This window comes from Homo sapiens, chromosome 14 (assembly GCF_000001405.40).
Source record: "Homo sapiens chromosome 14, GRCh38.p14 Primary Assembly".
Taxonomy (NCBI): Eukaryota; Metazoa; Chordata; class Mammalia; order Primates; family Hominidae; genus Homo; species Homo sapiens.
Genome location: NC_000014.9, coordinates 84,834,502 through 84,848,758, shown reverse-complemented (window position 1 = coordinate 84,848,758; position 14,257 = coordinate 84,834,502).

The following is a 14,257-nucleotide window of genomic DNA, read 5'->3' as shown; positions in this document are numbered from 1 at the left end:
GGCTTCTGAAAGTGCATGCATGTTTAGTGAATGGGTCTGGGTTTCCATAAACGTCCTGTTATTACATCAGTCATATTATTACCCCTTTGAGGAAAGAAACCACGCTTTTCACAACTTTGATATTTTTGTGTCTCCCTTAAATTCACTGTGCATTAGAAGTCCTTCAAGGTTGCAAACTCTGCAAATACTTAATGCAAAAGGGTTAGTGAAGAAACATCCTTCCCATTGATGGAGCTGATCCTGAAGTAATAATTGATATTCTTCATCATCCACTTTCCTCTCTTTTATAGTTTTCTTTCAACCTAGATCATTATTTCATTAGATGTGGGTTGCTTGCTTGAAAGATTGACTGAGATCTTCAGTCTTGAGGGGTCTGAAAGCTTAGTTGCCTTGCACCTGTTGGACCATGGACCATGCAACAGCCCATTCACCGGTTACTGGGAACATAAAAAATTACAGCTCTGTGAATTACCTGGCTTTTAGACATAGCCATTCTTGTCTACATATGCTAACACTGTCTTCTCTGGTAATCAGGATTGATTTTTCCCACCAGCATAAAAAGACCTTTCTTTGTTTGTGGGATCACTGGAAAGAGGAACCTCAATGTTGAGGAATAGTTTTAATTTCAAGTTCAATGGGACACTTACTGTGTCTCATGGTGTAAGAATTTCATGGAAATGCATTTGTGTAGCCCAGCTGAACCCAAGGTGGAGAAAGAAAGCATAAATTCCACTGTATGCCACTGAGAATCACAATGTAAGAGGTCAGTCTTACACCTTTCTCTTGCTTCCTGGACATGAGTATTCTTGTTATAGAGCCTGAGCATCATTTTTTGTCCATTTGCTCAGTGTATACACTGCACTGTGGACGATGCACTCTTTCCATAGAATGTTGTCCCTGAGCTGATGCCTTAACTGAGATTTTCAAAAGCCATTTTGCTGGTCTATTGAGCTGTTTATTTCTTAGTGTTGAAATAGAAGATAAAATCAGAGGAACCCACGGAAAAGAATAAAATTCATGCATTTCATCCATATAAACTTTTCAAAATTACCCATAAATATCACTGGAGCATGTTTCATAATAGAGCAGTAAGGTCTCCCTGGATAATGAATTATGATGCCTACATTTTGTCCCCATTCTTTTTCCAAGTATCTCCATAATTGTGAAGACGGGATTTCATTTCTATTATAAAATTCTTAACCTATAAATTGAGGAGGTTGGGCTTATAATCGCTAAAATTTCTCTTAACCTTAACATAGGATGATTCTATGTTTAGTAAACACAATCTAAATAAACATTACTGAGCATCTATGTTAGTCCATAAATTATGCTAAGGGTTTTATATGCATTTGTTATGTCATCCAAAAAGTCTTTGAGTCTTGGAGGTCAATAATCTTATTAGTCCACAAATAAAAACATTGAGCAGCACATATTTAATTACATGCCCATGATCATATATCCAAATAATTTCTGAGCTAGGGTTTGAGTTCATATTTGGCTTCAGAACTTTTACTTTTAATTACAATGCTATATTAACTCAAGATTTCTGAAAATTATATTGTTAACAATAAAATAATATTTCTTTGTATGTGAAAAATGAATTGCTTCACAAATGTTTGTCACTATTGTTCTATTTACGAGAAGAAAAATGTTAAAACGCCTGTAGTTAAAAAAGAAATGCAATGGAATTTAACATGATGCTATTTTCTGTTCTTAGGGACTTCTGGAGAAGTAATCTGTTCTACTTCCTTTATTTATATTAATAAGCCCAGCTATTTTTCTCTCCTTTTTAGGCTTCAGATTATCATAATATGAAAACACAGTTACCTCATGATGCTTTACTCTTCTAGGAGGCTATAGTTCTCCCTGAACACAAACGATTGTTCATAGAGCCAGTGTTCTCCACTTTGCCTCACTGGAATAAATGTATGCATATGTTTATAGAGTAAGAAAGATTCTAGGAGATAAATTTGATATTTCCTTTTCCAGCAGTCTTTCCTTGCTTTTAATGGCTTCCAATATAATCCATAGGCCTTCATGCATCTCAAAAATATTTCACTTCTTTTGAGTACCCAATAGTTTCAGTTCCTTCCCTGAGTCATATAGAACAGCCTTGCTCACATGCTTATGAATATTTTTTTTTTCATTCTTAGGTTCCAAGGCAGTTCCAGTTATTCTTTCACTGATGTCCTCTACTTTGGATATTTTTAAAATCAATCTTATAGTATACTACATAGAATTTAGTGTCCCTGGGTGGCATTTTATTGTTTTCTTTGTATTCCTAACTTTCTTATAGCCACGCCTCTAACAGAGAATTTTCTGATCTGACACGTGTTTTGGCCTCTTCTAATTTAATGTTATCAAAAAATGTTATTAGCATTCTGTCTGCACCCTCTTACAGATCATTATCACTAAAACTGAAGAAGTCCACTCAATATTTCCCCCAGAAGGCTCCAGCACCTATTAACCATACCCTTTACTTATGCTTTTTAAGTTCATTTTAACTCAAGTGACTACATATTCCCTGAGCCAATCTGAACAGAGTTTACAAGGAAAGCTGCAGGATGCTTGTCCTTCCAAGGTCTTAAAACTATTTTAAAGATAATAGTTATAAATATTTTCTAATATCTGTATATACTGCCTAGCGTATCAATTGTAAACTCTGTGGCATGTCATTTAAGGTATCCTATAATTTCTTGTTTTTCCTTTATATGATACTTATATTTTAAGCTAAGATTTATAAAATACCCAGTACAATCACTTCTCCTCAGCCATAGTGGCAGCTCTGATAATCCTCTCAAATATCTTATTCTGAAAATGGCTTTGGCTAATGTTTCCACTTGCAATGCCCTATTCCATACTTTTAGCCAGTACTTTCCTTTTTCTTGTTTTTGAAAATGTATTTGGGCTTTTAATTATTTGTTCTTCAATTGTTGCATTTTTGTATATATTCACACATTCACATACACACACACACACATGCACACATACATATACGTATATTTTTTTCTTCCTCATTTCAAAATACCATAGACTTTATGGTTCATACAACAGAAATTTACTTCTCAGAGTTCTGGAGCCTGGAAAGTCCATAATCAAGGCATCCGCAGATTTGGTGTCTGGTGAGGGCCCTTCTCCTGGTTCATAGACGTCTGACTTCCTGCTGTACCTTCACATGGCAGATCTTTTATAGACTTTGTCTCAGTTCAGTACTCAGTTCCTTTTCTTCCCTCTGAGCCTTGATTTTCCTTACAGAGGGAGAGACCAGGCCTAACCAATTGACTGCTTTCAGTTTTCTATTATGTAATTGATGCATACATAATGTTGGGACTCAGAAAATAATACCCTCAGCTGCAAGCCTAAAAGCAAAGTTTTTCTCTGGCGTTCTGCTTTCCTGTCTCTCAGTCTCATTCTCCCCCAAGGCTAGCCATAGAAACTAAAATCCCTCTTCCCCAAGGCGGGTCATAGAAATCAGAACTCTTTTTCCCCAAAGCCAGCCATAAAACCTAAAAATAATACTCTAAGGTTCTCTCCACTGGCCATAAAGAAATGATCTGACCCACCTTGTCTGACTGTAGGTCATAAGACCACATTTCAGAAAGGGTCCTGCAGGAAGGAATGCATGCTCAGAGAGGAAAGAGGAACCTAGACAAACAGGCCTTGCTGTGTTTCTCCAGTCAGTCTGTTAGCATGAAATCATACTTCTACATAGTTATCCAGACTTTGTTGAATCTAAGCATAAAATGGACAATTCTCCCTGTAGCTTTGGGTCTTCCTTCTGAAGGCTCCTGTGTAAACATTAAATACATGTGTATGCTGTTTCTGCAATTAATCTGCCCTTTATTGAGTTTTGAGTGAATCATCAGAGGCAAAAGGAAAGTTTTCCCATGGCCCCTACAATAACTTTAGCTCCCAGTATTTTTAATTTTGAAATTACATGCATATTCAATGAAACTGACTCTACCACTGTCAGTCAAATTTAGTCTTTCTTCTATGCCTTTTTACCTCATCCCTGCCCTGCTAAATATCATCAAGGTATTGTAACTTTAAAGTACCTTTGACAACTTAAACTGGGAGTAAATAATGTTGCATATTTTAAAGTCCACTACGTCTAAGATTGCCCTTAATTTTATAGAAAAATAACTTATTTAAAGTTTCATATAAAGTATTATTTTATCATTCCCAAATAAAGTTTTTTTTTAAAAAATAAGGTTTCCAGTCAAGTATCTTGATACTGTGTAAAACCAGGCTCACATTTGGAAATGTCATTCTTCTAAGGCCTTAATCCTAGGGTCATTTTATCTACGTGGTCCTTATGTGTTATCTTCTTTCTCCATAAAGTAATTCATCTCCCTGCTCTAACTTCAATGACATTAATAAAACCACTAACAGCACAATTATCATTTTTATTATGTGATACTTATCAAAGATTGGATTATTACAGATTGCAAACAATTTCAAGAAAGAGGCACATGTTTGATAATGTTCAGGACAGCAGGGTGCTATTCTGTTTAAATCCTTTTTAACATAAAGAACTAAATAAATGATAACTAACCATGATAACTAAAGAGCTCAATGAAATCCCACTGTGTGGAGGGACATTAACAGTTAATTTGGTCTATAAACATTTACAAATTATGCAAAAATATGTCTAGTAATACAAATAATAAAAGCTCCAATTTTTTAGTTCTGTATTCAGCCACATCAAACATTTCTAAAGTTACTCATGTCAGCCCAGTAGTGTGTCAAGGGAATGAATACACAGCTGTTCCCTGGCCTTAAGGAATTTGTAGTTTGTTTATTAGTTCATTCATTTATTTTGTTAGTCAAAGTCAATCAACAAACACTGAGAGATTGACAGCCACAGTTTCAGAGAAGTGTGCCTTGTGCTGCTAAAGGAGGATATACTGATCCCTTAAACTTGAATGCGAGCATTTATGTCATTGTAGCATGATGATTGGTATGGCAAGTAGGAAGAATTTTTTTCTAAGTACATGACCACTTGCTAAGACAGGGTCACCTTGAATCCTTTTAAATGAAGTGTGTTTGCTTTGCCGAGCCCTTGAAAATTAAACCCTGTGCTTCACAGTAACAGTGAAAGATACAAGTTTCTCTCATTAAAAGAGTGAGAAGAATGTGTTTTCCCCAATGACTAAGTGGGAAGAAGAGAATAAAGTAGGGATGGGGACAGAAATGGAAGGAAGACAGAGCTGGAGGGGACATGGAAGCTATAGAAGACTGAGTGGAGCTCATCATGAACTCTCTTCATGATTCCTTCAAGTTAACTTTTTTTTTTAATGCTATAAAACTCACAAACACACAGTGGGATTAAATGTGGTTGGAAAGTGACCAAAAACTGAGTTCATTATCTGAGATGGCACATAAAATGATTCACAGAAGCAGGTCATGGAAAGTTATGGCTAAGAAGAGAGAACCTGGTAGAGACTGGCCCCCTGGGACTGAGCATAGGTTTGTAGGTGGCATTATGGACTTCCAGAGCTCAAGTTGTTGGGATTTAGGCCAAGATCAATTTCTAGGTGTTAGAAGGTCATGTTCTCCTTCTTCTCAGTGTGACTTTTGGAGAATACATCCACCCACCCCCACATATATGTGCACATACATGTATTTCCACCTATGTATACATACATAGCATTTATTATATTCTTTGTGTCCATATATTATATCCCATATGCCCTAAAACAACTCAGAATTGATTATTTGTTAAGTTTTAAAATCCTGAAGAATGAGAGGTTTATGAGCAAATGCTTCCCAGATGTGGTAGCTTTGAAAAATGAATAAGATTTGACCGTGAGGAATTTATAGAAAGGGCATTTCAAATGGAATAAAAAAAGATACTGTGAGCAAAGGCTAGGAGTTCATTGTTCCCCTGTGAGACAGCATTATAAAATTTAACTAGAGGAAGTACATTTTGCCTCCACGAGTGACTTGCCTTGGTTTTAGGCTACTCTTTGCATATTAAGTTTGGGAATTTTAGGATTGGGATGTGATTGAGCTTTCAACGTGTTCAGTTGCTTAGAAAAAGAGAGTCTGGATTTAACTTAAGTATAAGTTAGTGCTAGATTGTCTAAGTGAGAAGAGTTTTGCGTCATCTAGAACAGGAGCCTCAAACCCTTGGCCCAGGGACTGGTACTGGTCTGTGGCCTGTTAGGAATTGGGCTGTACAGCAGGAGGTGAGTGGCAGCAAGCTGAGCTCCACCTCCCATCAGATCAACTGCAGCATTAGATTCTCATAGGAACGGGAACCTGTTACGAACTGTGCATGCTAGGGATCTAGGTTGTGGGCTCCTTATAAGAATCTAATGCCTGATGATCTGTCACTGTCTCCCATCACCCCCAAATGGGACCGTCTAGTTGCAGAAAAAAATGTTTAGGGCTCCCACTGATTCTGCATTATGGTGAGTGTATAATAATAACAGAAATAACTTACACAGTAAGTAAAATGTGCTTGAATCATCACAAAAACCTCCCCTCCACAAACCAATCCTTGGAAAAATCGTCTTCCACAAAGACCGATCCCTGATGCCAAAATGCTTGGGGACTGCTGATCTAGAGAAGCCCAAAACTGTAATACACTCTACCTCCAGCTGTTACAGTTTCCTCCCCTAGAAGGCTGGGATAGGGAAAACAGAACTGAATTGGCAATATCAGATCTTGATACCAAATTGACCTGCAAATAAGTTCCATTCTTGTGAGGAAATGTAACAAAGTGATCTGAATCAACTTCTTCATCTTTTTCCATATTTGTCTAGAAGCTCATGAAACTCTTAAACTGTGAATAATAAGCTCATATAAATTAATGTGCTCACAGATTGTATTTCTAACTACATATATAAACATTTTAAATGTTGGAGAAATACATGTTGATTAATAATTGATTCCTAAATAAAATTATTTTTATTTTGAGCATATTTCCAAATTTTGAGACTAATGAACTAACACTTATTGAAATTTACCATGTACCAGACATTGTGCTCAGCATTTTACATGTCTTACAATGGCTCCTAATTCTACCATCCTAGTCCATTTTTTATAAGTCCTGAAAGATAAAATACTAAAATAATGCCACCTACATTAGTGGATAACATTTTTTGACAACTTCTATATTGTACTTTTTCAAAAATTTTATCATTATTTTTAAAATTTTTATTTTATTTATTTTATTTATTTATTTATTTATTTTTGGGACAAAGTCTTGCTTGTCACCCAGGCTGGAGTGCAGTGGTACAAACACGGCTCATTGCATCCTTGACCTCCCAGTCTCCATTAATCCTCCCACCTCATCCTACTGGGTAGCTTGGATCACAGGTGCATACCACCAAGCTTAGCTAATTTTTTGTATTTTTTGTAGAGGCAGGGTTTTTCCATGTTGCCCAGGCTGGTCTCACACTCCTGGGCTCAAGCAATTTACCCACCTCGGCCTTCCAAAGTGCTGGGATAACAGGCGTAAGCCACCACACCCAGCCTATCATTTATTTTTTAAGATAACTTCATGACTTAGATTGTATTACTATTTCATTTTTAAATGAGTAATTGATAAGTAGAAAGGTCAAATAATTCGCTGCAGATCACCTGTCTACTAAGTGATAGAACAGAATTGAAATCCAGGTAAATTCATCTTAGAAACCATACTTTGGGCAGCAAACTATTTCTGTAAAGTTTTAGATAGTAAATATTTCAGCTTTATAGGCTGGGCTGTTTCTGTCGAAAGAACTCAAGTTGGCTCTTTGTAGCACAGGAGCAGCTACAGACAATATGTAAAAGAATGAGTGTGGCTGTGCTTCAATAAAATGTTATTTGTAAAAACAAGCAGTGAGCCAGATTTGGCTCATGGACTATAGTTTATCAGCCCCTGCTCCACAAAAGTAAAAACATATGCTGATGCATGGCACCATTTATGCAGGTCCTAAATTGTATTGCACCACTACAAAAATATTGTTTTATAAGAGAGGGCCAACATGAGCCCCTTTCCACCATTATACTTTATGACAACCACTACTTTTCCTTAGAAAGCGTATTTTTAAGTCAAACCTTGAATATCTGAAATACAGGATAAGAAATCCCATTTTAAAAACCAGATCCATATAACACCTAGCTCACTTGTTTACTTCTAAGCAATCTGTTCCATGCATTGGCTGAACAAACAGTAATATTACAAAATCAACAAACATTTATTGAAGTCATAACAGCCAATGGAATACCTACTGAGTAGAGAAAGTTGAGTAAGAATGACCTTGACTTTAAGGAGTTGAAAATTAGTAGAATAGAAAAGATATGAAACAACCTTGTTATAATTCAGCGGGATGAGTACAATAATATCTGTAAGATCATGGAAGTTCTAAGAAAAGAAAAAATATATTATATGGAAGAAGCCTTTGAGTTTTTTGTGCAAAGGTGTTATTTGAACTGATTCATCTTGGAGGAGATCTCCAGATAGGGGAGGCATTCTAGCCAGAAGCAATGGTGTATGAAAATGTGCTGGACCACCATTGTGTGGGGATGCTTGGGGAACAGTGAGAAATGCAGCCGAATGAGAATATCTTTGGGCAGAGATGGAGGAGGTAAGGTGGAGAAGTGGCAAGAGATAGGTTGCAGAAAGTATTCATCTTAAAAATTTAGGGTTTCTTTTTAAAAGCAGAAAGCAGTTAAGGTGATAAAACAGGCAGTGACTTAATCACAATTGTTTTTCGAGTTAAGAAGCTAGTTTTGCAAATGCTTTATGGTGAGGTTTTGAGGAGTATGTTTAGATAATTTACTCCCCTAGAGGGGCAAATTAGTTCGGGTCACTACCATTTCTTACTATGCTGCCATCCCAGCCTCCTAAATGTTCCTGCTCTCTCAACTTTTACTGTCTCCATGGTTTGCCTTTTCCAGAATGTCATTTAGTTGGAATGTCAGTATGTAGTATTTTTAGAATGGCTTCTTTCACTTAGTAATATACGTTTAAGCATCTTCCATGTGTTTTCATGGTTTGATAACTCATTTTTTATTACTGTTTAATAATATTCCATGGTCTGATGTACCACAATTGATATATCCATTCATTTATTGTAGGATATTTTGGATGCTTCCTTTTTTTGCAATTATGATAAAAATACTAAAAACATTCATGTGCAAGTGTTTGTGTGACACGCATTTTCAATTCATTTGAGTAAACATCCAGGAGCATTATTGCTAGATGGCATGGTAAGAGTATGTTTAGTTTTATAAACTAAACTGCCAGGCCAGGTACAGTGGCTCATACTTATAATCCAAGCACCCTGGGAGGCTGAGATCAGAGGATTGCTTGAGGCCAGGAGTCTGAGACCAGCCTGGGCCATAGCAGGAGACCCCATCTTTAAAAAAAAAAAAAGTAGCCAGTGTGGTGGAGCACACCTGCGGTCCCACCTACTTGGGAGGCTGAGGTGAGAGGATCACTTGAGCCTGGGAGGTCAAGGCTGCAGTAAGCTATGATTGCACCACTGCACTCCAGCCTGGGCAAAAGAGTGAGATCCTGCCTCAAAAAGCAAAACAAAAAAAAAGCAAAAAATTGTCCAGCTGTCTTCCAAATCGGTTGCACCATTTCCATTTTGCATTCCCACCAGCAATGAATGAGAGTTCCTGTTGACCTACATCCTCACCAGCATTTGGTGGTGTTGGTGATTTTGGATCTCGGCCATTCTAATAGACTGTTTAGGTACATCTCATTGTTACTTTAATTTTCAATTTTGTAGGTACATACAATGTTGAACCTTTTCATATGCTCATTTGCCATCTGTATATCATCTTTGGTGACTGTTTACATATTTTGCTCATTTTTTTATTCTGCTCCAGCGCATTTTCTGCTTTGCACTGAAATCTGATCTTACTGCTATGTCACCCCCATGAGTAAAGCCTTTCAGTGGCTCTCCACTGCTCTTAGGAATAGAGACCAACACTATCTGGCTGTGCTCACATCACCTGGCTCAGCTGCCACCAACCACATGCTGCTTCTCTTTGTCCCTTCCACATGGGCTACCTTTCATTCTACATTTGTACATTTATGACAGCTTCAGGGTCTTCTTATAGCCTGTCTTCTTTACCCCAACAGGTACCCATCTTTCTGCTAAACAATTTGTCATAAAAATTTTCACCTTAGCTTCCTCTCAAGGAGGCATTTCTTAACCTTAACAAATTAAGATGGTTCCTTTCCTGTAAAACTGGCTTATTGCCCTTGTCTTTTGTGATATTTTTCAATATTATATTTAAATAAATGCTTAATTAATGCTTGCTGAGATATAGTTCCTACTAGGCAATAGACATTATCACTTTTGTCGTGATGCTATTACCTGGGCATAGTATTGTACCTTCCCTATGGTAGGAATTCAGATTTGCTCAACTTAACTCACGAAGGTGCTTAGACAAACTTGGGTTGTATTCTAACTCCTCAAATTCTTACCTAAAACATCTTAGGTAAGTCTTTTGGTCAATTTTAGTTTTAGTTTCTTACCCCAAAGATATGATAGCTAATAATTCCCATTTGACAGACTTGTTTTTTAAGGATTAAATGAGATAAATTAATTTTAATGCTTTGTAATCCATATGGCAATATGCATGTGATTTATTTTTATAACTGAATTCTTACTTTCAAAATTGTCTATAAAATGAAGCTTAAAATGATTAATATGCAGATTAATATTTGGTGGCTGATACATCTGTCTTATGGATACCTTCAAATCCATTCTGTTTACTCTTAGAATATAGTGTTTAGACTAAAATAATCCTGGAATCAGCTTCTTTGAAAGTTGTGATTCTTATAACACAGTTTTGGGCCTTGTCGGCTTTTCTCATCATCTGTATTCTGCAGGCTCTGGGTGATAATCATTTTATAGATTTAGGATAACAGTTTCATATTATTCATTTTTAACTGATTGCTCACTTCAGCAGAGTAATCATTTTAGAATCTGTTAATGATCCCCTTTGATGGCTTTTATAGACACAGCACTGCATATTATGTATCTGCAATGTATAAATATCTGGGATTGCTTTTAATTGTGAGAAGAGGTTTGTCCAAAGGAATCAAGGAAAGCACAAAACCACAATCAATGTCATATAAAAGGTTCAAACTAACATCAAAAAACATAATTACCTGCAATTGCGATATGTATGTAGATAATATGCTTCTTTAATGTGAATACGGAGGTTTTTTTCCGAAAGCAGATGCTTTCTCCTGCCATGTGGAATATGTCTGTATGTGCCTGAGTCTTGCTTCTTTGTGGCAGCCAAGATAAATAAAGCAAAACCGTCTCCTGAAAAGCACTGGCAGAATATCTGCAGACCATTAATCTTCATCCATCTTCATTTTGCAGGCAGTATATATGCCACTTTCTGCATTTATTTAGGGATCTTCTTTCTAACTTTTTTCTTCTTTCCTTGTCTCACCCATGCTCAACTTTGGTCCTTCCTTGCATAATTTTATTTGATAGATATAGTATCTTACCATACAATGATTCAAAGTTGTCAATAGAAGTTAATATTTTAGCTGACTGAATGTGTGACTTTATATTACCCTGTAAATGTACTAAGGAATCGGTCTCTCTTGACTCATTACTAGAAGCCATAGTTTTGCTTATTTATTTCTTGACTGTCTCTTCTTTTCCAAGACACTCCTCTTTGCTTATTTTAGTTCTCAACTTTGTCAATTTATCACTTTGTTTTATAAGTCCTTATCATCAGTTTAATTTCTCCCTTCATAGTTTTATATGGCATTTGCCTGTATTACACAATGCCCAATGAATTAGGGAGTAAAACTTCATTTAAAATATTTTACCTGCATATCTAAGAAAATCAGTTATTCATTTCTCAACCAGTTTGTTTGGAAACTATGGAAGCACATTTGTTTTTCCCTTGGGGATGGGGTCAAGAAAAATAACACGTGATTTCCAACCCCCTGACTCTTTCACATAATTCACTTTTTCCTTTGGATTTCAAATTCCTTTTCTCTGTTTTCATTCCTAATCAGTTGCCTCTTGAACTTAAGGGATGAGAGCTTTACCTAAATTTAGTAGTTCAGAATCCTAAATTCAGTACTGAAATATACTGCTGATTTTTAGTATCTGTTTAGAAGCTGCTAAGAGTGACTGCCTCGAGCTTTCTGAAATTGCAGAACAGCTATTCTTATGTCATGAGCCTTTGTAACTCACCCACCAGTGCAGTAATAGCTCTAAAAAAGACAGTGTTAAAGCAATCAAAACTGTAAATTGTAGAGTTAAGAGACACTTTGGATCCCCCAAAGGTGCCCAAAGCGTGATGTCATTTTTTTCATTGCTTCTTGAAAGGGCAGTAACACGAAGTGTAAAATAACTTTTGACATTAAACCTATAGAATGAGAGGCATGTGAAGATTTTATTACTTGTATTATTTCTTGAACTATTTTAGTTTAGAAATGGCTCAAGTGGGTTCTAATTTTGCAGCATGTTGATTTAGTTATGCTTTATTTTGGAGTACTAGGTAGCCATTAAAAGGCTATGAAATGTAGATTTCTGAAGTTTTTACTTCAAGCAATTAATAAGGGGAAAAGTTCTTGGCTATTTGACAAAATAGGTTTTACTCTAAATGAACTCTTTCAAATATGTAAAAATAAAAACCAGATTATTTAGAAGGTGGTGTCTAGTTTTAGGAAAATAAATTCTAAAATAGCAAATTGTAAATGGAAAATTTTAATCTTTTGGAAATTTTATGTAGATTTTTTACTTAAAATATTTTCTTAAAAGGAGAATACCACCCATGAACATTCATGAGAATCTTACCCTCAGCATTTTTATCCTCATAAAATCGTTTTACCTTTATCACTCATCCATTCATATTTGAATAATAAGAATTATATTCATGTTATGAATAATAAACCCCCATCATCCATTCATATTTCTTCATTCATTTACAATTTATTTTTCACTTACTAAATTAGAAACATCTACTATAAAGTTATTTGGTACCTACTCATTTTGGCAGTTTTACCAATATACCTCTACGTTTCTCAAAAATTATGGTCATGCTTTCTTCTTTCTTTTCTGTATACCCTGCATTGTATTAGCCATGAGTTTGGACTTAAAATGTGCATGTACGTATACATTTTATTCCTTGAATCATTGTATTTGACAGCTACAATACATATATTTAATATTTATATAAAATATATGTATGATATCTGCCAAATAAAATTTTATACATATGTGTGTGTGTTTGTGTGTCTGGGTGTGTGTATTTCTTCTCTCCATTTCAGTAATGCCACCCTAGTCAAGGAAATCATCTCATCTTTTTGTACATTATTACTTCAATTTTATTGATGAAAAACTGAGGCACAGAGATGATAAGCAAGTTTTCCAAGGCAGAGGAGCTCTGAGCCCTATACAGAGAAATGCAGATTTCAGCTTCTGTTTGAAGTGCGATAACTAATGTGATGTTGAAAGTCATGAAGGAGAAATTTCCTGGTCTTTAAAAAACTAAGTATTTTCAGTCTCTATATTACAATAACTTAGCCCAACTTAACTAACACAAGTGTCTACCTTACAGTCTAGAAGAACAGTGATTGCCACGCAGTAAGAGCATAATAAATAATAGCTTCCATTATAATTTCTGCAAAATCAAACTACTCATTTTTTTTTAGGTTCACTAAATACTACTTTCATTATCCAGCCTTCTTTATTAGGTTCACTAAATACTACTTTCATTATCCAGCCTTCTTTATTGCTATCTAGGAAAAAAATTCCCATCCAGGACTGTAATACATTATCTGTCATATTACACATATTTTTCTCTTTTTATACCACATCATTAAAACCTAATTTCCATGCAGTAAGACATCATGTCTTATTGTGTTGTATCATCCTTAATTATTATAATAATGATTATTATATATTATGCATTGAATAATTATTTAATGAAAAAATGCAAATTTTCTTTCAGGTTTAAGGATATGAAGGGATTTTTCTGCTATTTTTGCTCTATTTCATAGGCTGTAGCTCCATGGCCTACAATTGAAGAGAATGCTGTTTTCTGCCTCATGGAAGTAGGAAAATGAACTCTTGAGATGTTGGCTCTCAAGGGAGCTTGCCTCATTCATAAGGTAAGTGACTTAGAGCCACTCAGCAATTCAAAAGGCTATTACTTCATATTTGTACCTCAAATATGTAAAATCTCCATAAATTAGACTTTTGCATTACTTTATTATAGTTGAAACACAGATACGATATATGAGAATGCCAATGTTTTATGGTGACTG